Source organism: Homo sapiens, chromosome 1 (genome assembly GCF_000001405.40).
Source record: "Homo sapiens chromosome 1, GRCh38.p14 Primary Assembly".
Classification (NCBI taxonomy): Eukaryota; Metazoa; Chordata; class Mammalia; order Primates; family Hominidae; genus Homo; species Homo sapiens.
In genome coordinates, this window is record NC_000001.11 from 11,478,370 (window position 1) to 11,504,144 (window position 25,775).

General features: G+C 53.7%; 1 protein-coding gene and 1 long non-coding RNA gene across 11 annotated transcripts in view, besides 3 other annotated features; one reads left to right on the top strand and one right to left on the bottom strand.

Annotated features, from left to right (window-relative positions):
• Positions 373 to 692: a silencer, noted in NCBI's record as "silent region_264". NCBI's record gives its function as "represses an Ori minimal core promoter by ATAC-STARR-seq in GM12878 lymphoblastoid cells {active_cell/tissue: GM12878}" and the evidence as "EXISTENCE:reporter gene assay evidence [ECO:0000049][PMID:35858748]".
• DISP3 (dispatched RND transporter family member 3) overlaps positions 786 to 25,775 on the top strand; it is a 58,397-nt gene continuing 33,407 nt past the window's right edge. For 8 of the 10 annotated variants that reach the window (NM_020780.2, XM_047426135.1, XM_011541830.3 and 5 more), the window contains exons 1-3: positions 786 to 1,003; positions 22,621 to 23,719; positions 24,309 to 24,528. In NM_020780.2, coding sequence (NP_065831.1) covers positions 22,624 to 23,719; positions 24,309 to 24,528 — 1,316 coding nt within the window. In that variant the 5' untranslated portion in view covers positions 786 to 1,003; positions 22,621 to 22,623. The other 2 variants (XM_011541828.4, XM_011541829.2) reach the window with 2 other exon arrangements.
• Positions 1,337 to 1,938: an enhancer, noted in NCBI's record as "H3K27ac-H3K4me1 hESC enhancer chr1:11539763-11540364 (GRCh37/hg19 assembly coordinates)". NCBI's record gives its function as "activates a minimal SCP1, AML or CMV promoter by ChIP-STARR-seq in primed H9 embryonic stem cells {active_cell/tissue: H9 hESC(primed)}" and the evidence as "EXISTENCE:reporter gene assay evidence [ECO:0000049][PMID:30033119]".
• LOC124903842 (uncharacterized) lies at positions 17,579 to 21,105 on the bottom strand. The gene is made up of 2 exons (XR_007065460.1): positions 21,018 to 21,105; positions 17,579 to 20,325 (listed from the first exon to the last, which is right to left on the bottom strand). It is a non-coding gene; the product is annotated as an uncharacterized LOC124903842 (long non-coding RNA).
• Positions 23,078 to 23,645: an enhancer, noted in NCBI's record as "H3K27ac-H3K4me1 hESC enhancer chr1:11561504-11562071 (GRCh37/hg19 assembly coordinates)". NCBI's record gives its function as "activates a minimal SCP1, AML or CMV promoter by ChIP-STARR-seq in primed H9 embryonic stem cells {active_cell/tissue: H9 hESC(primed)}" and the evidence as "EXISTENCE:reporter gene assay evidence [ECO:0000049][PMID:30033119]".

A 25,775-nucleotide genomic window follows, 5' to 3' on the forward strand; every position in this document is an offset into this window, starting at 1 on the left:
GGCCCCCTTTTGAGGGGTCCCACTTCACTCTCCCTGGGCAACACCAATGCCAATGCTCTCTGAGCCCTGATGGAGAGAAATGGGCCAGGGTACTGGCCTGCCCCCCTCCCCCAGGCTCTTTCTCCTTGTGGCCCTTTGGCTAGGGGTGTCAGGCAGGTCATGTGCTAGAGCTGGAGGGATGCCCGGTCCCAGGGGCTGGTATGGCTCCGGGTTCTGGTGCCAGAGGGGTAAATGAAGAACAAACGAGGAAGGGACGGCGCCAGGAGCCTGGGCTTGGCAGCTCCCTCCGGAGGGCGCCCGGGGATGCCCGCGAGTGTCCAGGAGGCTGGTGACCTGCCAAGGCTGGGCGGGCTGGCTGGAGAGGAGCGGGAGCGCGGGCCCGGGAGAGACTTGGGTATCAGGAAACTCGGAGGCGGGGCTGGGGGGTGGTGCCTGGCCCGGACCGTCTGCAGGGGCGGGGACCGACCCCCAGGGGTCGCTGCGCCTTGCGCTTCCCCCGCCCGCGGGCGCCAGGGCCGGGCTGAACCACCGCGCGGATCGGCAGGGGGAGCGGCGGCGAAGACAGCGCCAGACAGCGGGTCCCAGAGACCGCAGCGCGCGGCGTGGCGCAGGGTCTCGCCGGCCACTGATTCAAGGCGCGGCGGCGCGGAGCCCGAGAGGCGCCAGGGATTGGGCGGCAGCGCGGCTCCGGAGCCTGGCTCGGACACCCCCGCGACCCGTGGTAGGAGCCCGGACCCAAACAAAGGCGGGCGGCGAATAAAAGGCGGCGGCGGAGCGGAGTGCTCGGGTTGCGAGCTGAGGACTGGGATTCGCGCGCAGCTTCCCGCGGTCTGCTTGCCCTGGAGCGGAGGGGGAGCCCCAGCCTCCTGCGGCTCCGAGAAGCTTCCCCCTGCGACTTCCGCGAGGAGACGAGTCTGCGCAGCGTGGTGGCCGCCGCCCCCCGACCCTCTGCGCACTCTCTCCCGCGCCGGCGGCTCAGCCTAGCCCCGTTCGGCCGGCCGAGGTGAGTGCACGGCCGCGGGGCGCCATCCGGGCTTGGTCTCGGGGCTGGGGGATGCATTGCTAGGAGGAGGGGGAAGTCCTCCGCGCCGTCCGCACCCCGACCTGCTTGGCGCCGCGCGCGAAGTTCTCTCGCTCTCCAGCCAGCCCGGGATGCGGGCCTCGGAGCCCCCCGGGAAAGACGGTCAGGGGTGGACAGAACCCAAGCTTGCCCTCTACGACCGGGCCCCAGCTCCGCACCATCTCCCCGCGGGACTGCAGCATTCTTGGTCGGCCAAGGGGAGTTGGATGTTGGATGTCCAGGAACGGCAAGGCTTCCGACCTCTGGCCCCTGCTTGTCCCCTCTGAGGGATATCTGGGTCCATAAAAGTTGAGCGTCAGTCTGAAGCCGCCCTTGGATCGGGCTCTCGCCCATGCTAGAGCGGAGGGAGGGGACAGAGTAAGGCTAATGACCCCCTCCACCCACTCCCTACCTAGCGTACTCGTGCTCTCGGAGGGACATTTCCCCGATTAACCTGGCTGCAGGTCCGGCCGGGGAGGGCGCGTGGGGGCTTGGGGCGGGCCGGGCCAGCGATGGATCCGCGCGCGCGAGGGTCCCCAGGCTCTGCCGAGAACGCGAACGAGGGTGGAGGTGGAGTGGGCAGCCGGGCAGTGGCGGCGCTGAGGGTCGGGAAAGATTCCCAGCGCAAGGGGCGCCAAGTCCCGGGAGCCAACCCCACCGCCGGGAGAACTTTTCCCAACTCCCTGGGGAGGCCGGCAGCAGGGCTGGGAAGGCGCCTCCTTGGGGGCTTCTCTTCTCGGCCTCTGCTCCACGGCCGGCGCCAGCTTCCCGCTGTCCCCCACTCACTGCGAGACTGCGCGCAGGTCTCCGTCAGCCCACTCCCCGGGTCAGCACCGCGGACAGCGCCTCGCGGCCGCCCTAGAAACTCAGAAGCCCGCGCACACCCACAGTCCACGCGCACACTCACACCCATCCATGCGCACACACATATCTACAGACCACTGGAAAACAGTCCACACACATACACTCGCGCAAGTACACACCCACCCACAATCCTCAGGCGCACACAATCCACGCAGACCCACGGTTCACACGCACGTGGGCGGACAGATCTCACAAGCACACACGTTCGTGGACCTGGGCAGCATCTTCGCCCCCGCTCTGCACTCGAGGTTGCTGTCTCCGGACTCACTGACTAAGCCCCAGATTCCAGAGCCCACCACCTGGTGTTCTCACCGATGCCCAGTGACTCACAAAGCCACTCAGACTCCCAAGCACAGACACACTTCCACCCCCAGCGCGCGCGTGCACACACACACACACACACACACACACACACACACACTGTCCTGCTCCTATGGGCGAAGCATGGGGATTTAGAGCAAACACCCCCTCCCCACCTCCTACTACTACACCTGCCAGGGGACCAGGGGATCTTCTGGAGGGAGGGAGGAGGCTGTGGCTCGGTGGAAGCTCCAGGCAGAAGCCCAGCCTGGACAGGTGCCTTACAGAATCTCCATTTTCAGCCCAGGGTCCATTTTGCTTGGCTCTCTACCTCAATACTCACTCCTCTTTCTCTAACCTTAGTCCAGACACACACATGTACAATCAGGGTCCGCATTCTTTGCTTGTACCCTCTGTTTCCCTGCTCTGTTCCCTCCCCCAGGTTTCTCTCTCTCTCTCTCTCTCTCTCTCACACACATACACACACACACACGCACATGCACCCTCTTTTTTTGGTCTTTCCAGTCATCCTTCCCCACTGTCTTCACTTCTCTCCCCAACTTTCCTTAGGCTGGGTCTGACCCAGTCTTTGCTGGGATGTGGGCACAGCTGACCCTTAGGGGGAGCTGACTCCATTCTCTCAGACTTGCCTTCTTCACTGCAGGTTCCATGTCCCCGTTACTCTCTCTTTGGAAATCTGACGACCCTCCACCGTGGCCTCAGCAGCTTCTGTTCCCCTCCCCAGGAAGTTTTCTAGGGCCAGATGCCACAGAGCCCCAGTGATCTCTCCAAGGGGCCAAGAACTTTGGGTGAAGCATTCTGGAACCCCCCTCGAGATCTGGCTAGCCATGAGATCTGGTAGCCATGACCTGGCTTGCCCTTTGACACCTCTCCTGCTGTTGTCCTTCAAATCCAGAAACTGGGTTGAAAGAAGAGTAGTCCCAGCATGGTGTGGTGGAAGGAGCACTGGACTGGAAGTGAGGGGACCTGGATCCTAGTCCGAGCTTAACCACAGACTCCCAGTTTGCCCTTGGGCAAACTACTTCCCTTCTCTGAGCTTCAGGTTTCCCGTCTGTTAAAGGACTGCCTGAGGTGACCTGTAGGGTCACTTTCTGGCCCTAATAATCTGGAACATTGACTCTCTAGTGAGTCTCTTGAGTGTGGGTGGGATTGAAAATTGTGATTCTAACCCCAAAGATTACCCTACCTTTCCCCTTCCTTAGAGCACCCACCACTAGTGAAGTCATCCTGTTCCCTGAGTGAGGGATGTTTAGATGATTTCCTTAATAGGACCAGAGATGTCAAGTAATTTTCTTGAGGTCATACTGCTGAAGTGCAATCTTCATTGGGGCAGGCATTACTTCTACTGTCTATATATCCTCTGCATATACCACTGGTTCTGCTGGTAGATGTGTGGTGAATGAATGAATGAATGGACAAATGAATGAATAGAAGATTTAAACCTGGATCTCATGATCGCCAGGTCCTTGGATGGTTTAAGCCCCTTTCTCTGCTAGTATAGACATACTTCCCTCGTCTCCCCATCCTCCCCATCCCCTATTCCCCTAGTCCTCAAAGGCGGTGGATGGAATTGTCTGAGTTAAGGTCCTTCCTCCCAAGTGGCAGACACTGGGCTGGTTGTAAATGGCCACAGAGAAGGGAACAGCTGAGAGCAGCTTTAGAGGTCCTGCCCAGTGAGTAGGGGCTTTGCAATCAGCCTCATGTCCTTGGACCCAAGCAAGTAGACTGCCCATGGGCAGTTGGTTGCTGGCCAGGCTCTGATGCCAAGAGGGAAGATGGCCATCACCACCATGTGGCTAAGCAGCCTCTTTTCATAGCCCTATGAGCTGGGGATGGCAAAAATAGCCTTCACAGATGAGCCAAATGAGATGCTGAGCAAGGAGGTGGTGTCCCTAAGGGCCATCAGTCAGCCCACTGCCAGCAATAAAAGTAGGCACCCCAAAATGGTGGGGTGGTAGTAGTGATGGTTGACAATAACAATACTATAGGTGTTGATAATGATGTTAGCATTGTTAAAATCGAGAGCTCAGTGATTAGCCTTTTTGGTTCCCTTCCCCCTCTTTGAAATGGTTTCCCCACCTGAACCCCTCTTATACTCCTCCCCACACCCAAATGTGGAGAAACGGAGGGCTGGGACAGTGAGGCAGGGGTGTGGGATTGTCCATCAGTCCTAGCCAAGGAAGAGGGCTTGTCGTTTGAAATCGTCTTCTTCTCTGTCTGCCCTCCCCCTACCCAAGCATGGTGTCTTGCCAAAGGAGCTGGGAGAGGTGTCAAAGTCTGTCAAAACACCCTTCCAAGCTAGATTCCAAAGCATCGAAGCCCAGGGAAAATAAATAAAGAGAGCAGTGTCGGCCCAAAATAGAAACATGCTCCAACTCACAAATATGTATGTTTTCCAAAAGTCGCATTTCACGGGCAGACAGTGCGGCTCACGCTGCAGCTGCCCAACAAAGGCCGGAGGCATGGATGCTGCGGGACCAGTCCAGGGATGGCGGCAGAGCCTCCCCCAGTGAGCTCACTCTCTGCCTGGCCGCTGGGAGACCAGACAGCCGCACTCCACTCTGCACCAGCTGGAAGGTACACGGGCGGGAGGATTGAGAGGAATATGTGTCTGTGTGTTGTCAAAGCTCTTTGGAAACGGGCACCAGACATGGCTGATGGCCTCAGGTCCTCCGCCTTATGATGGGAGGCTGGTGATAACAATACCAACCAATCATAGCTGCCATGTGTTAAATACCTACTATGTGCCAGGTGCTAAGCATTTACATGGACTGTCTCACTTAAGCCTTGCCACCATCTCATGTCACATGAATTGTCATCCTCACTTAATGTGTGGGAAAAACAAAGTTCAGAGAAGTGAAGAGACTTGCCCAAGGTCACACAGCGAGAAGAGGCCAAGCTGGGATCAGATTTTGATCTGAATGAAGCAAAAACCCCCATTTTGCCAAGTACCCTGTATTGTTTTGGTTACTGTCATTCAATAAATATTTTCTTGTCGAGAAACCTGTTTATATGATGGGTTTCAAAAGAATGTAAATTCCTCTGCCAGACAGGCCAGAAGTGAAGGGCGGTACCCTCACCTGCGTTCATCAGTCAGTGGCCTGGGCTGGGTACTCAAGGCTTCTGAGCCATGGCTGGGCCGGAGCTGAGTCCCCGTGAGAGTCTGGAATGGGACTCAAGCTGTGAACCTTGGAGTGTGAAAGACAACTTAACTCTGTAAGAGGTCAAGGATATGAGAAGCCTCTGCAGATGGGGAAGTTACTTCAGAGAGGGCAAGTGAGTTGCCCAGCATCACACAGCATGTTGGTAGCAGAGCCTGAGTCTCAGAATCCCAGGCCAGGGATCTTCCCAGGCAGCCGGACTGGCTTCCTTGGGTGTGTGGGAATTGTCCAAACCACACCAGGGAAGGGGACCTAACTGATGCAGCCAGTAAACCTAACAACTTCCTTCCAAGTGCAGAGGTGAAATGCTGCTTGCTGTCATCGCTCCAGTCCTCTCCGCTGCACCCCCTCTGACATTAGCCAAATGCCAGGCAGTGTGCTAAATGCTTCCTGGACCTTAACTGATGTAATCCCCATAACCACTCAAGAGGGAGGTGCTCTGATTCCATTTCACAATGGAAAGGCCTGAGGCTAGAGAGGTCAAGTCACCCGCTCAAGGTCACACTGCTGGTGAGGAGGCAGGTGGAGCCCAGCAGAGCCCCGCTGGCTGGTTCTCTCTGGGGGAGAAGAAGGTGAAGGTTTGGAACTAATGCCAAGGGGGCGGAGGAGCTGATGGGCAGCGGCAGGCTATTTATATTACACCTCCAGGCTGGTCACGCTTGCTGGCATGTGTACCAGCAGAGGCTGTGTGTCTGCCAAAACCTGGAAGGAAGAACCCGGTGCAGCATCCTGGGGCCATCCCCTGAGGGCATTAGTGAAGTGTAAGGTCTGGGTATGTTTCTCCCTGAACTCAGGGGAGAGAAGATGCTGGAGAGGGTCTCGTCTGCAGAACTCCCGGCATGCCCTTGATCTTGGCAATTTACTTCCTCCCATCCGTTCCTCCCTCTGAGCAAACCAGATGGGGAACCTGCCAGTTTGGAAAAGGCTGTTGGGTGGCAGGTTATGGTGTTTCTGTATACAGTGAGCTTGACCTGGGAACAAGGGGGTGGTAAGGACAGTGGGAAGGATTGGCATGGATTTAGATTCTAGCAGGTACCATTTACAGGGGCACTTCTTGGAACCACAGAGTGATGTCCTGGGAGATAGTGTCCAGGGACCTCAACCTCCTTTGCCAGAAAAGGCCTTCTCCATTATTTCCCATCTCACAAGCATCTGCCTGAGTAGTCCTACTGTGTGCCAGGTGTGGGCTTGTAGAAGTGTTAGGTTGGTGCAAAAGTATAATTGTGATTTTTGCCATTGAAAGTAATGGCAAAACCCCCAATTCCTTTTGCACCAACCTAATGGAAAGGTCTCTGTCTCTGTCCCTGTAGAGCTCATCAGAGTCCCCATTCCCACCCCCCAGGACCTCTAGCTGAAGGAGCAGAGGTGATAGATGATTAATGGTGTCTCAGCCAGGCCCCCCACCACAGTAGAAGAGGGACCCAGCTGTCCCCTGGGGCTGAGACGGCATGATCCAGTCAAGTGGTCTCTCCAGGGTCAGGAGGAAGGTTTCCTGTAGGTGTTGCCCCCAGTGCAACTAGACTGTCCATGAGCTTGATGTCTTGGTAGGAGGAGGGTGCAGTGGAGAAGGCTCACTCCGCCCAGCCATCTGCTCGGGGCATCCAGCACATACACTGGCACCTGGATGATGTGTCCTTTGCCAAGCCTTGTTAATAGAGGAGACGTGACTGCCAGCTGGAAGCCACTCCTGTCGTGAAGGAGGATGTGGTGATCTTGTCTCTGGGGAAGGCAGCTTCAACGGGGGTCAGGGTGGGGAAGGTTGTGGCAAATTGGTGTTCCTGGGAGGTTTGGGAAAAGTATGTGTCCCCCACACCCTGCAACTGCATTGACCTTTGCACTGTCCTGGGAGATCTCTCTGTTCTTCGTTGGGGAGCTCTGCAGGGCAATCACCCTGATGATAATGATCATGATAATAACAGTCAACATATTTTGAATGTTTACTACCTGCCGGGCCCTGGCTTAGAACTTTACAGATATGATCTCATTTCATCCTCATACCTGCTCAGCAAGGGGGATAGCACTGTTATCTCCATGTTAAGGATGAGAAATGTGAAGTGCAGAGAGTCTAAGCAGCTTACTAATAAGCAGTGGAGATGGGACCCAGCTGCCATGCGCACAAGGACTGAGCCCCACACTCTGGCCTTTACTTTCACTTGATTTGGGCCTTTGAGGATGAGTATGATTGAAGCCAAAGTACCTTATGAGTCCTTCAGTAATCTGGGTAATTGTGCATAGGGACTCGGGCTCTGTGTTCTGATGGATAGGGTGATGTGGGCTGACCATTTGCTTCTCGACTGCTAAGCCACCGAACAGATCACTTTTTGAATGTCCAGATGTGGGCAGCATCTGGCAGAGTGGCAGGACGTTGCTGGCTTTCATCCAGATGTTTCCCCCTTTTCCTTCCATGTAGACACAGCTGAGACTTGCACCCCTCTGGACATGATCGTGTGTGGGGACGCCCAGGTTGAAAAGTATTTGTTGGTTTTAAGGCATCATCTTGTGACTTCACAAAGGCAGGATGTTGGTTTTTGTTCCTCCCTGCAATCCAGGCCTGGGAGACATTAGAGAGGAATCAGGCTTTGGAGAAGTGTCAGCAGCCGGAAGAGAACCCCCGCCCCCTTCCCTTCTTTAGCCGGGGAAGCTGGGAAAAGGCTGGCTGAGAGTGTGCATTACAAGCTAGTAGCTGCTGTGGGTTCCCTCCAAGGGTTTCTGACTTTCTGACCTGGTGCTCCAGAGACTTCCAGCAGATGATCCCAGAGTAACAGAGCCAGGAATCTGCAATGAACAGGGACATGTCAGCCAACTGGCGTTCTTGGGAGTTAATGAACATGCGAATAGATCTGGGGTGAAAAGGTTCATGGAGCCTTCAGGAGGAAAGGAGTTGAAGACATCACTAAGTTAAGATTAAGATTTTTTTTTTTTTTAAGATAAGCTCTCTGTCATCCAGGCTGGAGTGCAGTGCTGCAATCACAGCTCACTGCAGCCTCAAATGCCTGAGCTCAAGCAATCCTCCCCCGTCAGCCTCCTGAGTAATTGGGACTACGGGTGCGCATGACCACGCGCCGGATAAGTTTTTTACTTTTAGTAGAGACAAGGTCTCCCTATGTTGCCCAGGCTGGTCTTGAACTCCTGGGCTCAAGTGATCTGCCTGCCTTGGCCTCCCACTGTGCTGGGGTGGCAGGTGTTAGCCACCACACCCAGCCAGATTATGATGATTTAACAGAAAGTCCTCATTTTATATAGCAAGCACCAATAAGTGAATGAAGTTAGAATGAGTGAATGAATTGGTAAATGTATGAATTGGGGAATGGGGCTGAGGGACTTTGACAGTCAGGGCTTTGATTTGGCAGGGCCTGACCCCAAGTATGGACAAAGGGAAGGGTCCTTCTCTTGTCCTCATCCCCCCAGTCTTGAAAGAATGTCCCCCACCCCAGGAAAAGCTGAGAAGCCACCCTGGTCGGCAGCAGAGTGCCCTGAGTCGGAGGAGCCTGGGGAGGGGGAGAGGGAGCTTTGGCTCTGGATTGGAGAGAGTCATGGATGTCCTCCCTTCCTGAGGGGACATGGAGAACGGGCAGCTACATGGAGAATGGGCAGCTGAGCCCAGCTCTGGGGTAATGGGGCGGCTGCCACCGCTACCCCTGCTCAGAAGTTGCTCTGAGGCTCAGCAGGTGCGCTTGGAGGTGATTGCTTCGGGAAAAGGAGGCTTCTGCCTTCCCTGCCACCACCTTGCCTGGGACAGCACTTGAATAGAAATCAATTTGCATCATTCCCGCTGTCACCAGCCTAAAAGACTAAGTAGCTTAAGTAGCTTATTTCTCCCTCTGCAGACCTACTCTCAGAGCATTCCCAGGCTTCACCTCCTCCAGCTGCTTCCCCCGTCCTGGAGTAATGAGGGGCCCAGAACACCCTTGGCTCAGGTTCAGTAGAGAGACTGACTCCCTGAGCGTTGCCCTCTCACTGCCTGCCCCACCCTCATCCCATTCTGCAGGACCCTCTGGTCTTGGGATGTCTCTGGCTTCTGGCTGTGGCATGGATTGGAACCCAGGAGGCTGAAAGCGGATGGAAGCTGCTGCCTCAGGACCCCAAGGACCCTATAACACTTTTGACCTTCTCAACTGGTTCCCCAGCCCTAAATTACCCCATCCTCTCTCCTGTGTCACACTCCTGTGTCCTGGCCCTCTATCATGGAATAGACGGAGCCCCGTTATCATGGAATAACTGGTGCGTGGGGAGGGGCGTTCCCATTAAACTTTGGATAACACTCCACCATTGAGCAGGGTGGGGGTGTGAGGGAAGCAGTCTGAGATTTTTGAGCCCAGGTAGCTTCGCTGGGTCTCTCCTGGCCTTTGGGGCTGGGAGCAGCAGTTCTTAGTTCCTGGGGCCCTGAGCCTCCCAAGCATTTTATGAGAAAGGCAGCAGAGTTGGAGGGGGTCAGTACTTGAGGGGCCACTTTCCATCCCCAGCCCTAGAGGCTGAGCACCAGCCCCGGACTCCTGTCTCCGTAGGCAGCTGCATCATTGTGGAGGGGGTGCTGAGGCTGAGACCAGTGTCAGACTCCCCCCACCCCACAGCAAGGGCCTCTGTGCTGGTCCCAGGGGCTGAGGGGTACTGAGCCCATCTCCTGGATGGACACCTGCTCCCCACTATCCATGCCTGAGCTGTCACTCACCAAGGGAGCCAGGAAGCCTTCCCTGGAGCCACTGACCTGGGTGGGCACCGAAGGTGAGATTCCACCTGGGCACCCGTGGTGGGGAACTTGAAGGTCAGTCTCTCATGTCTCCACCCTCCTCCCTTCCGTGGGACCCACAGTCCAGCCAGCGCTGTACCTAAGCTGTGACCAGAACGGCTGAGGGCAGATGCTCTGTGTGTGTGTGTGTGTGTGTGTGTGTGTGTTTGCAGACACGTGCGTGCATGCATGCACAGACACCCAAGTGGGGGTTGGGAGGACTGATTCTAGGACCCTGAGATTTTCAAACATGTAAGACTCAAATAAAATCTACCACAGTGAGAAGGGTACTGAGCTCATCAGAAATCAGGTTCAAATAAGTCCCTTCACTTCCTTAGCCTCAGTTTTCTTGTCTGCAAATTGGAAATAATTCCTAGGAGGAGAAAACCTACGCAAAAATGACCTGGAAGCTGGAATTTGCTGCGTGGATGCAACATGATTCAGTCCCACCGCCTCCCCCGCGATGAGAGGATTGAGGATGGGAAGAGAAAGGGCTCTGGCTCAGGAACACAAGGGCAGCCTCCACCATCTCCTCACTGTGCCCCTTTCATCTGCTGCTGGTCTCCTCAGCCCTTCACAGGCCCAGGCAGCAGGGGACGGGGGAGCCCCAAGTTCTCAGAGGGAAAGAGATTTGCCCTAAGGTTCTCTGTTCCTTCCCAGGCAGTGAGGCTGCGGGTACAGCCCTCTCCCAGAGCTCCATCCCGAGTGCCTCATGGCGGCCCCTCAGCAGGTTTGAGCACGTTTAGCTTCTGATGTATCCTCCAGCTTCTCTTTGGGCGCTATGGGGCAAAGAAGAGTTTTGCAACATCTCTGGACCCACAGATTGTGGTCTGGGCGGGCTGGGGCTGTAGGAGGGATTGCAGTCTCCCAAGCCTTCCGCAGAGCTAGGAACTGGCAGGTGACCACCTGCTGTGTCCCAGCAAAGCTGATGGCACCCAGTACGTGGCTATTGGCTATTCAGCTGTTCTTGCCACTTGGCCAGGCCCCTGTGCGTGCTCCCCTCCAAAGACAGCAGGATCCCTGCATGCTGCCCCCTCCAGTTATTCTGCAGAGAGGTGACGGGGAGCCTCTCCCAGCATCCAGCCCCCCTTGCTCTGCCTCAGTCTGATTCTCTGACTGAGAATCAGAGGCAGAAGATTTAGAGAGCATCTCTTCCCGCTCCCCATCTGGCAGACGGAGAAACTACCTATCCAGAGATGTTAAGTGACTTGTTCTAGGTCACACAGGCGAGTGGCCAGGCAGGTTCCAACCCCAAGTCCTTGGGGCCACTTCTGCTGCCCCAGGCACAGATCCCCTGCTTCCTCCACCTCCCTTGCCCCCAAGCTTGAACTTGCAGCAAGATCCCAAGATGAGATGCTGAGAGAATTGTTTTACATATTTGTTAATCACGTCTCAGAATGAAAAGGGCCCTGAGCTCATCAGCCAGGAAGAAAGCCAATTTGGCTTTCATGGCCGTAGTTATTGGTCATATATCGTTGGGATCTTTTTATCTTTTATTAACCCAGCAGTCTAGATGCTGGGGTGCTGGACTGGCTGCTGGGCCCAGAGGTTCCTCTGTACTTGGCAGCTGTGATCTCCAGCCTCATACACCCAGGACTTGGGACTGAGGGTGGGAGAGATGTCGGGGGTGGGGGTGGTCTGGACGGATTGGCCAAGGCCTGCAGTGAGAGTTTCCAGGAACCTGCTGACCCGTCAGGCCAGGGGCATCTGGGAACCTGGTCATATTTCACAGGTTCTGTAAGTGTTGCTGGGGTTTTTTGTTTTTGTTTTTGTTTTTGTTTTTGGGATGATGTTTCGCTCTTGTTGCCCAGGCTAGAGTGCAGTGGCATGATCTTGGCTCACTGCAACCTCTGCCTCCTGGGTACAAGCAATTCTTCTGCCTCAGCCTCCCAAGTAGCTGGGATTACAGGCACCCGCCACCATGCCTGGCTAATTTTTTGTATTTTTAGTAGAAACGGGGTTTCATCATGTTGGCCAGGCTGATATCAAACTCCTGACCTCGGGTGATCTGCCCGCGTTGGCCTCCCAAAGTGCTGGGATTACAGGCGTGAGCCACCGTGACCGGCCATGTTGGTGATTTTATTAAGCTTCCATTGTCTTTTCCTCATTGATGCCAAGGCTGCTTTGTGGGCTCCAGGCTCCAGTGCTGATGGGTCTTGGAGGTGAGGCCTGAGTTGTGCAGGCAGGGGCAGGAGGTGGCCAGAGAGGGTTAGTCGGGTGGAATTCCTTTTGGCATCAGGGCACGGTGGCTAAAAGGATGGGCTCTGACATTACCTCCAGAGGCTCCAATCCAGCTCAGCTCTGTAAGCAGCCTTGTAGGGTGGGGGTTGGATCAGACGTGATATAAATAAATAAAGCACCTCCCATGTGCCAGACACACAGTAGTGCTCAATGGATGGTAAACTCCCCACCTAGTCCCCTTTTAAGGGGCCTGGCAGATAGTAAGCCCTTGGACTTCTAGTTCCTTTTACTGTCTGGCCCTACCAAGAAGAGCTATTTGGCAGATCTGGGTGTGCTGTTTGTATCCCCCTGTCTGGCTGGCCCAAATGCCATCATTTCTTCCCTCCCCATGGATGGAGGAAAAGACACCCTGAGGAGTGAGCCTTGGCTAGAGATACAGCAGCCTGAGTCCATACCCCGGACCTCCAGGGACACATGTGAGCCACGGTGGAGGGATGTGGGGAGGCCAAGGCTAAATCAGTTGCTGGAGGGAGCCACTGGGAACAGGGGAGGATGACCAGGGCAGCAGGGGTTTTCCAAGAATGCTTCTGGACCGCCTGTATCAGAATCACCTGGGGAGGTGGTTTAAATACAGATTCCAGGTTGGGCATGGTGGCTGACACCTACTGTAATTCCAACAGTTTGGGAGACTGGGGCAGAAAGATTGCTTGAGTTTGAGATCAGCCTGGGCAACCTAGCAAAACGCCATCTTTACAAAAAATTAAAAACAAAAAACAAAAACAGCCAGGTGTGGTGGCATGCACCTGTAGTCTCAGCTACTTGGGAGGCTGAGCGGGGAGGACCACTCGAGCCCGGGAGGTCGAGGCTGCAGTGAACCATCATAGTGTCACTGCACTCCAGCCTGGGTGACAGAGTGAGATCCCATCTCAAAACAAACAAACAAAACAAAACAAAACCCGGATTCCTGGGCCCCACCTCCTCTGACCTGGAATCTGACCTAGAGTTTGCACTTTAACGAGTATGCCTAGTGACTCCGATTCACGTAAAAGTCCAAGGATCTTTGGGGCAGAGAATAAGGGAGTCCGCTCCAGTTGACTTGGGGACCTGCCTACAGCAGGGGCCAGTCCTGGGCTCTGGCTGGCTAAGAAGTTAATAATTGGCCGGGCGCGGTGGCTCACGCCTGTAATCCCAGCACTTTGGGAGGCCGAGGCGGGCGGATCACGAGGTCAGGAGATCGAGACCATCCCGGCTAAAACGGTGAAACCCCGTCTCTACTAAAAATACAAAAAATTAGCCGGGCGTAGTGGCGGGCGCCTGTAGTCCCAGCTACTTGGGAGGCTGAGGCAGGAGAATGGCGTGAACCCGGGAGGCGGAGCTTGCAGTGAGCCGAGATCCCGCCACTGCACTCCAGCCTGGGCGACAGAGCGAGACTCCGTCTCAAAAAAAAAAAAAAAAAAAAAAAGAAGTTAATAATCGTACTAGCTGCTCTGGTTCAGCAGGGGAGCAGTATCACCATCCCCATTTTACAGATTTCCCTCTTGGTGTTAGGGGGTCGGGTTCTGTCCCACTGAGCCCACTAGAGAGGGGACACCAGAACAGGAAAAGTGATAGTGGCTGTTGTGCCCATGAACGTTGGATCCCTCTGGTGTTGGCTGGGACGTTTCCTCAGGTGATATATTGACCCAGGCAAAGCTTGTTTGCCTGATAAATATTGAGCCATTGGGTTTTTCGAGTCAGCGCCCATAGTTTCCTCACCAGCTGTCAGCCCCAGGAGGCCAGTCATCCTTCATCCACTCCATCTGTGCAGCCTGACCTTCTCTGAGAAATGGGGGGCTTGGACAGGCTCGCCACAGAGCCCCCACCCGATTCCTCTCCCCACCCCCACCTGGGCTTCTAATAATAAGCCCAGATTTTCTTTGCAGAGAGGAATGGTCATTTGTACCCCCTCTGAATTTCCGGCTGGCAAATTGAGCCAACAAAGATCGTGTTTCTTAGGGGGCAGCAGGGGTGATGGGGAGTAGAGGTAGGTGCTTGCTTCAGCTGCAGCCACAAAGCCAGGTTTCCCTGGGGCTGGGGCAGGAGATATGGGGTGATAGATTCAGGATCTTCTTGCTGGGGAAAGAGCTCAGACAAGTGTGGAAAGTCACTCAGCCATACCCCTTCCTCTATGGATCTGGAAGGCATTCCCTGGCTCTGTTGCCGTGTTCATTTGAGATTCTAGGTAGGACTTGGAACATCTTCAGAGAAGACTCTGGGAGGGCCCTAGGATCCAGCTGCTAGGATGGGGCTCCCTGCTTCACTCCTACTTTCTCTCTGGGATGCTTCACGGCCCCATTGTATTAGGGTTCTCCAGAAGAAAATAACCAATAGCATATATATATCAGAGAGAGATTTATTAGAAGGAATTGGCTTATGTGATTATGGAGGCTGAGAAGCCCCAAGATCTGCAGGCAGCAAGCTGGAGACCCAGGAGAGCTGATGGTATAGTTGCAGTTTGAGACTGAAGGCCTGAGAACCAGGAGGGCCAATGGTGTAAGTTCTAGTCTGATAGCTGGCAGGCTGAAGACCCAAGAAGAGCTGATATTTCAGCTTGAGTCCAAAGGCCAGAAAAGACCAATGTCCAAGCTCTAGCAGTCAACAAAAACAATTTCCTCTTAGCCTTTTCATTCTATTCAGATCTTCAACTGATTCGTTGAGGCCCACCCTCATTAGTGAGAACCATCTGCTTTACTCTGTGTACTGATGCTGATCTTATCTGGAGGCTGGGCTTGGTGGCTCACTCCTGTAATCCTAGCACTTTGGGAGGCGGAGGTGGGCGGATCACTTGAGGTAGGAGTTCAAGACCAGCCTGGCCAACATGGCGAAACCCCGTCTCTACTAAAAATACAAAAATTAGCCAGGCATGGTGGCATGCACCTGTAATCCCAGCTACTTGGGAGGCTGAGACAGGAGAATCATTTGAACCTCAGAGGTGGAGGTTGCAGTGAGCTGAGATCATGCCACCACACTCAAGCCTGGGCAACAGAGCAAGACTCCATCTCAAAAAAAAAAAAATCTTATCTGGAAACACACTCTCTCTCTCACACACACACCCAGAATCATGTTTGGCCAAATATCTGGGCACCCCATAGTCCAGTCAAGTTGACACATAGAATTAACCATCACACCCATGACCCATTGAAGGGAAAGCCAAGCTTCTGAGGTTGGTGGGAGACTTCCTTTACATCATGCCCTGAGTTGCCACCTGCTGAAAGCAGAATTGCCAGGCCCCGAGTGATCTGTGGTCTTATGGGGATGGGGCAAACTTGCTAAAAGGCAATGGGTTTCTTCAACAAGTACTGACATATCAGCTCTCAAAGAGCTCATAGGCTACCTGGTATGGCCAAAAGAGCCTGGGCTTTAGGATCAATAGACCTGGGGTTCAAACTCCAGTTCTGCCCCTTAGTAGCTGTGTGACCACCAGGGAGTCACTTAACCTCTCTGATTCTGATTTTGCTTCTGTAAAAAGTGAATGCTCATAATGCCTTCCCTAGCGTCCTTGCAGGGCTGATGTGAGGATGACAGAGGATGGATAAGGAGTACTGGCACGTGGTAGATGCAGAGTTAATTATTATGATGGTCTTAATGGGTGTCAGAGTTTCTGCATTGAACTAGCTGGGCTGAACTAGCTGGGCTTTTGACTGCACTCCATGTGTGTGATTTTGCCCGTTTCACCACCACATCTCCAGTGCCTCTCCAGCCTCCTGGCCTAGGTGGAGTGTCCAGGTCTCGGGGAAAGGTTTGGGATTCTGATGACTGGCACATAGCCAGGACATCCGGAGAGCGGTGGATTCTCAGAAGACGGAGTATCAGGACGTAGGACAGTGATGCCTGGGAGGCACCAAGGCCTCCTCTTTTCTTTCCTCCCTTCTCTGGAGCTGTTCAACTCAAAATAACTCATTTTGAGCTTCTGCCCAAAACTCTCGACCCAAGGGTAAGAGAATCAAAGACCTCAAGATGTTCAAGGACCAGAGCTGAACCAGGGAAGGCAAAACATCCTGAGCCAGGAAGAAAAAGCTGATTAGCTCCTAATTGCCGTTAAATTGTATATACATATACGTAGTTTAAGTCAAATCTCCATGTCTAATGTGATTTTTTTATTACATTTTAATAGTCTGGCTGGTATGGGGGAGTGGAGAAGGAAGGGTTCTGTCATCCTTTGCCAGAGGAGGGAAGTTATAAACAGGACCACAGGGAGGCTCTGGCATGGGTTCACATCCCTGGGAGCCCCATCTGCTCTGGAGAGGAGTGAGGCCTGGCAGGGGCCTGGGGGTGTTTTTGAGGCAACACCACCTCCCACCAAAGCCCCATTCTGTCCAAATGGGGAAGTCCATCTGGCCTGTGACTTGAAGATTGGCTTTTCTCTTCAACTTCAAAAATGGCTCTCCCAACTGGGTGTGGCGGCTCACACCTGTAATCTCAACACTTTGGGAGGCCAAGGCGGGCAGATCGCTTGTCAGGAGTTCGAGACCAGCCTGGCCAACATGGTGAAACCCTATCTCTACTAAAAAATACAAAAATTAGCCAGGCGTGGTGGTGCATGCCTGTAGTCCCAGCTACTCAGGAGGCTGAGGCACGAGAATCGCTTGAACCCGGGAGGTGGAGGTTGCAGTGAGCTGAGATCGCACCATTGCACTCCAGCCTGGGTGACAGAGCGAGACTCTGTCTCAAAAAACAAAACAAAACAAAAACAAAAATAGCTCTCCTATTTTGGCATTTTGAGTCCAGAAGCCATCTCACCCCAGGTCTGGTTGTTTCCTGGGGCTGCCAAAAACTGCCCCCAGAATCTGGGGATGGAGTAGAGTGAAAACTTCATCCAGGAATCCTGGTCCTGCCACTGATAAGATGATCTTGGGTTAGTCCCTTCTCCTTGACTGGACCTGGGGTCTCAGTTTCCCCATGTGTAAAATGAAGGCATTGGACAAGGTATACTCAGGTCTCTTCTGGGTCCAGTGGGCCATTAGCTACTTCCTGCTCATTGAACGATCCCTCTCCCCATCTCAGGGGAATAGGTGATTCCACACTCACCCACAGGGCATTTGCCAGCTCCCCCTGTCCAAGGTCCTTCTGCTTTCTCACTGGGCGCTGTCCTGCTACAACCTAAGCCAACTCTCCTTGGTTTCTCTCCTCGGAGGGCAGAGCCCTCCTCCCCTGCCTATTACAGTAATTCTTCAAAGAGTTGAAGGCTGTTAGCAAAATCCCTTCCCCACACATACACACATATTCTATTTTTAAATAACATTTATTTCTGATTCTAAAAGTAAGGATATACCTGATCATTGCAGAAAAATTAGAAACAGACAAGTACAAAGGAGAAAATAAAAATCACCCATAATCCTCCCAAACAGGTTACTGCTATTAATGGGTTTTTAAATGCATATAGATGTGCGTTTTTTTTTTCTGTTATAAAGCTGGGATTTGACTGCAGATATGGCTTTGGATTTCCACAAGCCTGGGCTTGAAAGTGGGTGAAGTCTTTCCTTATGAGGCTCCCTAGGGCCTGTTCTCTTTTAAGCAGCTGCCTCGGTTGCCTTTCCCAAGAGGAGGATGGTTGGTTTCGTGGATATGCATCCACCTTGATTCATGGGCCCCGGCAAGGCCCAGAGTTTAATTTTTGACTACCTCTGAGTGTGCCTGTATGTGTGAGAGAGAGACAGAGACAGAGGCAGAGAGAAAGGGCATTGGTCACTGAGAAGAACATTCCCAGGGCCCAGAAAGGCCTGATCACAGCCCCTACTCTACCCCACCTCACTCCACCCCCATGGCCACAGTCCTCCTAGTCCTACTCCGGGCTTTGTCTGAATCAATGACAGCTACTACAGGAACCACCTTGGTTCCTTTCCACGGAGCAGCTGGAGCTCCTTGCTAAGCTAATCAATTCCCATCATTTGAGGAAGGAAAACAAATTTACAATTTGCTGCCCATCCTACCAGCTGTGGAGGGGCCTGCGGAGGGAGGTGCTGGCTGAGGCATTCGTGTTCCACCCTTACCAGCCCAGCCTCAGTTTGGTGCGAGGGACTCTCAGATGGCTCTTGCCCTACTCGGGCTGCAGACTGGGAGGTGGGAAGGGCTAGCTGGGGTTTCTTGGAGACTCCAGGGGTGGCACAGCTGGAAGGACCTGGGCTTTTACCATCCCGCTCTGAGATAGGGGAGACAGAGCCCCAAGAAGGGCAGGACATACCCAGGGCCACCCAGAAAGCTGGTGGCTGGGCCAGGCCTGGAGACACGTGGGTTGACCACCAGTCTGGTGTGATGCCCTTGTGGCACTTTTCATGTTGGGGGCAGACTGAGAAGGCAGGCACGGGGTGGGGAGGGTGCATGATAGACCAAGAACTCATCAAATCCACTTCCTGCCTTGTCCATTTCACACTCTTCCAGATCCTTCCCAACCCGGAGGAAGCTATATCCCCTGCCTATGCTTATGTGGCTTGGGATCTGACTGCCCTTTCTGTCCAGGGGAAAGTTCTTTTTTTAAAAAAAATTAAAATTTTAAAAAATTTTTCCATAGGTTATTGGGGTACAGGTGGTACTTGGTTACATAAGTTCTTTAGTGCTGATTTGTGAGATTTTGGTGTACCCATCACCCAAGCAGTATACACTGCACCCTATTTGTAGTCTTTTATCCCTTGCCCCCTCACCCTTCCCCCCAAGTCCCCAAAATCCATTGTATCATTCTTTTTTTTAGACGGAGTCTTGCTCTGTCGTCGCCCAGGCTGGAGTGCAGTGGTGCGATCTGGGCTCACTGCAAGCTCCGCCTCCCAGGTTCAGGCCATTCTCTTGCCTCAGCCCCCCGAGTAGCTGGGACTACAGGCGCCTGCAACCACGCCCAGCTAATTTTTTGTATTTTTAGTAGAGACGGGGTTTCACTGTGTCAGCCAGGACGGTCTCGATCTCCTGACCTCGTGATCCGCCCACCTCGGCCTCCCAGAGTGCCGGGATTACAGGCATGAGCCACCGCACCCGGCCCATTGTATCATTCTTATGCTTTTGCGTCCTCATAGCTTAGCTCCCACGTATCAGTGAGAACATACGATGCTTGGTTTTCCATTTCTGAGTTACTTCACTCAGAATAATAGTCTCTAATCTCATCCAGGTTGCTGTGAATGCTGTTAATTCATTTGTCCAGGGGAAAGTTCTATTGAATACCTCACCCAAGTTCATCGGAGACTCCTTTTCCTTCTTTGTCTCAACAAATATCTGACTGCCCCCCCTCCCCAAGGGTGTTTTAGGCCACGAGAAGCCAGCAGGGAATATGACAGCCAAGTAAGTCCCTGCTCCCTTAAAGCTCACATCTACCCGCCTGTGGGGCTCTCACTGGGAGGTGGAGTGGCTGGGCCCAATTTTCTGGTCACTTAAATCCAGCAAATGCTGTCTGCAGGGTATGGAGCCACACATACAGAACAAGGCTTCACTGCAATTGTTGCAGTTGCTATTGCTATGTAACAAAACATCCCAGAGTGCAGAGATGTATAATAACTATCGTGCATTCCGCGGGTCAGGACAGGGCACAGGAGAGGATGGCTGAGCTCTACTCTGTGGTATCTGGGCCTCGGCTGGAAAGACTTCAAGGCTAGTGGTTACTCAATGACCGGGGGCTGGAATTGTCTGCAGCAGCGTCGCTCACATGCTCACATCACATGGTGGTTGATGCTGGCTGTCAGGTTGGTTGTCAGCAGGAAGTCCTACGAGTGATCTCTCTGCATGGGCTAGTTTGGACATTCTCGTAACACAGTGGCTGATCCCAAGGATGAGCGTCCGAAGAGAGCCAGAAGGAAGCTGCATCTTCCTTTATTTCCTAATGCCTGCATTCCTTCCCCTTGAATCTGGGTGGGCTGGTGATTTTGGCAGCCTTGCCTGCTTGATGGGAGGAGTGTCAAAGTCACATCATGAGATAAGCATGTGAGATGGCAGATATTGTTGCAGCCATCTTTGGAAAACACAGCCAGGTACATGTATCTGTTAGGGGTTCCAGCCTTTGGAGGGAAGTAGCATATGAAAGAATAGTAGCTGTCATTTCCCAAGCACTTATACCTACCAGGCACCGTACTCAGTCTGTTGTGTACGCCATCCTTCTGACAGTTTCTGCGGTGAGTACTGTTATACCCGTTCTGCAGATGGGGAGACTGAAGCTCATCAAAGTTACACTGCCTGCCCTAAATCTTACAATTGGGATTTGCACCCAAGTCTGTCTGCCTCCAAAGCCGTAGCTCTTAACACGCTGCTACACTGCCTCTCCCTCCCTTCCCCGCAGTAATTTTTACCAGGCAAAATCTAGTGAGGATGGCGAGAAGCTTAGACAGGAAGCTGGGGGGTTCAGATCTGGGAAAGCTTCTTGGAAGAGGTAACGCTTGAGCAAGGACTTGCATGATGAATTCAATGTGGACCCCTAGGGGACGGGGATGGCATTCCTGGTGGAATAGCAATGGGATCAAGGGGCCTTCAGATCACCCAAGGAGTGTTGCTGTGACCCAGAATCCTGGCCTTTGACCCCCTGCAACACCAACACACTGTAAACTGTACTCCCCACAAGGCAGGCTGAGGCACGGGCAGGATGGATGGGTTTAGTTCCCAGAAAACTGCAAACACGGCCCCTCCCCTCTCCACCTTATTCCCATCAGCTTTCTTCTTCTAAGGCCAAGAATCGGGCAGAGGCTCCCACACTCACCTCCACATGCAGACTTGGTTTTTCCCTTTGGAGATGGGGTGAGTCTGAGCTGCCTCCAGTGCGAATACAAATCGGGACTCAGAGCAGTTACCATCCCCTCGGCAAGCTGGCAGGCTCGTGTTAGGGCGTTGCAAATGGGAAGTTTAATTATTTCATTAATACGAATCTTGCATATTACAGGAGCAATTCCCACCCCTTCCAGGCCTCTCTCCTGCAAGTCTTCCGCTGCGCACCCCTCCTCTCCCCCACATCCTCAGTCATTCTTCCTTTCTGTTTCTTCTTTTGTTTCCCTATTTGCATCTCAGTCTCTCCCTCATCCCCCACCATTCCACTCTCCCTTCGGTCTCTCTCCTCTTTTCCTCTGTCTCTGTCTCTGTTTCCCTCCTTCCGTCACCTCCTCTTGCTTACTTTCTCTGGACTGACGACAGCCTCTCTTCCTGGACAGATCATCTAATTGAAATGGAGCACTCCAAAGAATGTTAATAGGAAAGGCAGCATTAATTAGCTAGCGCTAGCACAATTAGCTTCCTCCTCTTACCGCCTAGCATCTAACTGGATAATGAGTCTCTCTCTGTCCAGAGGGCAGGCAGGACAAAGGGGATAGGCCATGCCGGGGATGCCGGAAAGCCTCCTCTCTTTGGGCCACCCCGCTGGAGTCCTCGGGCTGCCCAGCCCTGCCCTCTCCTGCCAGGCCCTCCTGCTGCTGCACTCAAGTCTCTGGGAGGCAGATGCCTGGCCCCTGCCCATGCCCAAAGGTTTGATGTTGCTGGAGCTGCATATTAAGTGGCCCGAGCCTGACAAACAGTGCTGCAGCTGCAGCACCCCATAGAAGGGGTGGGAAGCTACTGAGGGTTCTCCAGGAGAGCCGTGACAGGCACCTAGCCCTGGCACAGTTCCTGGGCAATGGCTGAGCATGTTACAGTCCCCAGCCGGGAGCAGGGAAATCTGCTTACGTGACTGATAACTAACATACTACACAGACTGCAGAGTACTTCCACCTTTGACTCCACAGTCGTACGAGGCAGCAATGGCCACTTCTATTTTATAGATGAGGACTCTGAAGTTCAGGGAGGCTCACTGCCTTGCTGATACTCATACTGCCAGGATCCAAATCAGGGTCTGCCTGATTCCAAAGATCATGCTCTTTCCCTTGCACCCTGATACTTCCTAGAAGTACTTTACAGCTGCTCATTAAATGAGAGTGGTTGCAGTGGAGTTACATCTTACATTGGCCTTGAGTTCTAAAGTCAGAGGATGCAGCAAGCATTAGAAAATTGTGTAGTCAGATTTTTTTTTTAAATCCCTCACCCCAGGAGAAACATCTTTTCTGTTTGCAATTGTTCTGCGATTTTCCTTTTTTCTGTGGCCTCAAAAGCCAAGACCCAAAAGGGAGAAGTGATGGGCAAATAACAGGAATTTTCTCTGTATTTTTTACCGGTGGTTTAATTCAGTTGTGTTGATGCATGCTTGATGCAATTCCATTGCAGTATTAGTATTTGGTTATGAGTGGACAGGGTTGGTACCTAGGGCTGGGCGAACTGCACCACAGGGCACCTTCCCCTCACTGTCTCTCTAGCCTGCTGACCCTCTCCCTCTCCTGCAGACTATGGACACGGAGGATGACCCCTTGCTGCAGGATGTGTGGCTAGAGGAGGAGCAGGAGGAGGAAGAAGCAACGGGTGAAACCTTTTTAGGGGCCCAGAAGCCAGGGCCCCAACCTGGGGCAGGGGGACAGTGTTGCTGGCGGCACTGGCCCCTGGCTTCCCGACCCCCAGCTTCGGGCTTCTGGAGTACCCTGGGCTGGGCCTTCACCAATCCGTGCTGTGCTGGGCTGGTGCTCTTCCTGGGCTGCAGCATCCCCATGGCCCTGTCAGCCTTCATGTTCCTTTACTACCCACCGCTGGACATTGACATCTCCTACAACGCCTTTGAGATCCGCAACCACGAGGCCTCACAGCGTTTCGACGCTCTCACTCTGGCGCTTAAGTCCCAGTTTGGATCCTGGGGGCGGAACCGGCGCGATTTGGCCGACTTCACCTCCGAGACGCTTCAGCGCCTTATCTCAGAGCAGCTGCAGCAGCTGCATCTCGGCAACCGCTCGCGGCAAGCCTCCCGAGCCCCCCGCGTCATCCCCGCGGCCTCACTCGGTGGCCCAGGCCCTTACCGGGACACTTCCGCGGCTCAAAAGCCCACAGCCAATCGGAGCGGGCGACTTCGGCGTGAGACCCCGCCCCTGGAGGATCTGGCAGCCAACCAGAGTGAAGACCCGCGAAACCAGCGGCTGAGCAAGAATGGGCGGTACCAGCCCAGCATCCCGCCCCACGCGGCAGTCGCGGCCAATCAGAGCCGTGCCCGCCGAGGCGCCTCGCGCTGGGACTACTCGCGCGCCTATGTGAGTGCCAACACTCAGACGCACGCGCACTGGCGCATCGAGCTCATCTTCCTGGCGCGCGGCGACGCGGAGCGCAACATTTTCACCAGTGAGCGCCTGGTCACGATCCATGAGATCGAGCGCAAGATCATGGACCACCCAGGCTTCCGGGAGTTCTGCTGGAAGCCCCACGAGGTGCTCAAGGATCTGCCGCTGGGCTCCTACTCCTACTGCTCGCCCCCCAGCTCGCTCATGACCTACTTTTTTCCCACCGAGAGGGGCGGCAAGATCTACTATGACGGCATGGGCCAGGACCTGGCGGACATCCGGGGTGAGCCGCCGGGATGCTGGGAGGGGGCGTAGGTCCAGGTTTCATACAGCTCTTTATGGAGATTTGGCCCAGGCCAGGCCCAGGCCCAGGCCCAGGCCCAGTCAGTCTGGAACTGAGTCCTGGGCATGGCCGGAGGGCAAGGTGAAAAGGGCTGGGCTCAGGTGTGAGATGAGCGTAAGAGGGAACTGAAGAGGGAAGCTTGGACGCAGACCCAGGTGAAGGATGGTGGGGGGTTCTGCTGTGGTCAGAGGTAGAGAAATCGTGGGGTGGGCCTCGGGTGTGAGGCTGGTTAAGAAAAGGGCCAGGATGTGGTTATACAGAACCAGAAATCTGGCCATAGGAAGGCAGGAGAAATGATTGGGGTTGAAGAAGACTGAGATAGGGTTCGTTTTAGGTAAATTAGGGATGGGGCTTGAGGAAGGGTGGGGCAGGGTCAGAGAGAGGTTGTGGGGCCTGGGGTGGAGTTTTGGTGGATATGGACAGGGGGAATCCTGGGAGGCAGGGCTGCAATGAGACTGGATGACCTTGAGGGAGGGTTGGTGGGAGCTGACCAGCTGAACTCTTGGGGCCCCCACCCCTGTCCTTGCAGGCTCCCTGGAGCTGGCCATGACTCACCCTGAGTTCTACTGGTATGTGGATGAGGGCCTCTCTGCAGACAATCTGAAGAGCTCCCTCCTGCGCAGTGAGATCCTGTTTGGAGCACCCCTGCCCAACTACTACTCAGTAGATGACCGCTGGGAGGAACAACGGGCTAAGTTTCAGAGCTTCGTGGTCACCTACGTGGCCATGCTGGCCAAGCAGTCTACCAGGTAGGAAGTCCAGCTGCATCCTGTGTGTGCATGCCCATTTTTGATTTCCAATTGCCTCTTACTCTTAAACCCCATATCCCTTTCCCTATAATCTTTTCCTTTGGAAGTCTTTCTTTCCAAATTGGGGCAGAACCAAGTACATCCTTGCAGTCTCTCTGACAAATGGAAGTACGCTTTGCTTGATCAGTGCTAATAGTTGGTGAACATGACAGCTTTGGGCCAGGTAGGAAATCCTAGACTCTGCCCTGGAGGTCTTGGGTATTGATTTTTCTCCTGAGATGGTGCTCGAGGTCTTTCTGGAAAGAGTATTGGCCAGGGAATAAGGAGTTCCTCACTGTATTAGTCAGGGTTCTCAAGAGAGATGGAACCAGTAGGATAGATAGAGAGAGGGATATGTGAGAGGAGATTTATTAGAGGAATTGGCTCATGCAATTATGAAGGCTAAGTCTCATGACATACCATCTGCAAGATGCTGCAAGACCTTTGGATGCTGGTAGTATAGCTCAGTCCAAATTTGAAGGCCTCAGAACTAGGGAAACTAATGGTGTAATTCTTCGTTCAAGACCAAAGGCCTGGGAACCCCAGGGACTGCTGGCATAAGTCCTGGAGTCCGAAGGCCAGAGAGCGTAGAGTTTTGATGTCCAGGGGCAGGAGAAGAGTGTCCCAGCTCCAGGGGGGAAAGAGAGAGAGGAAATCACCTTTCTGCCCTTTCATTCTATCCTGGCCCCCATCCAGTTGGACAGTGCCCACCCCAGCCACTGAGATGCCAGTCTCCTCTGGGAAAACCCACACAGACACACCCAGAGGCAATGCTTTATGAGTTCTCTCCATATTCCTTAATCCAACCACATTGACACCTAAAATTAACCACACTTCCTGCCTCTAATACCCAGGGAGGTAATGGGCAAGTCACGTCACTTCTCTGGGTGTCAGTGTTCCTATCGTTAAAATGGAGAACACGATTCTGGCTGCCCTCTGGAGTCACTAAGAGATGAGCTAACAGATGTGACGGTGCTTTGGGGTGGAAGGTGCTTGGGGATGGTGTGCCCAGGAGTACAACTGGGTCCCTCCCCACCAGAACAGAGCAGCAGTCCTTCTGGGCAGTAACTGTAGTGCTTTCCCAGTCCCCCACCCTGATAGGCCAGTCCCAGGCACAGGAGGAATCATCTGCCTGAAACACCCTCATTCCTTCCACTGCTTATCCTTTATATTGAGCAACTGCTGGAATAATCAGAGCTAATGTTTAT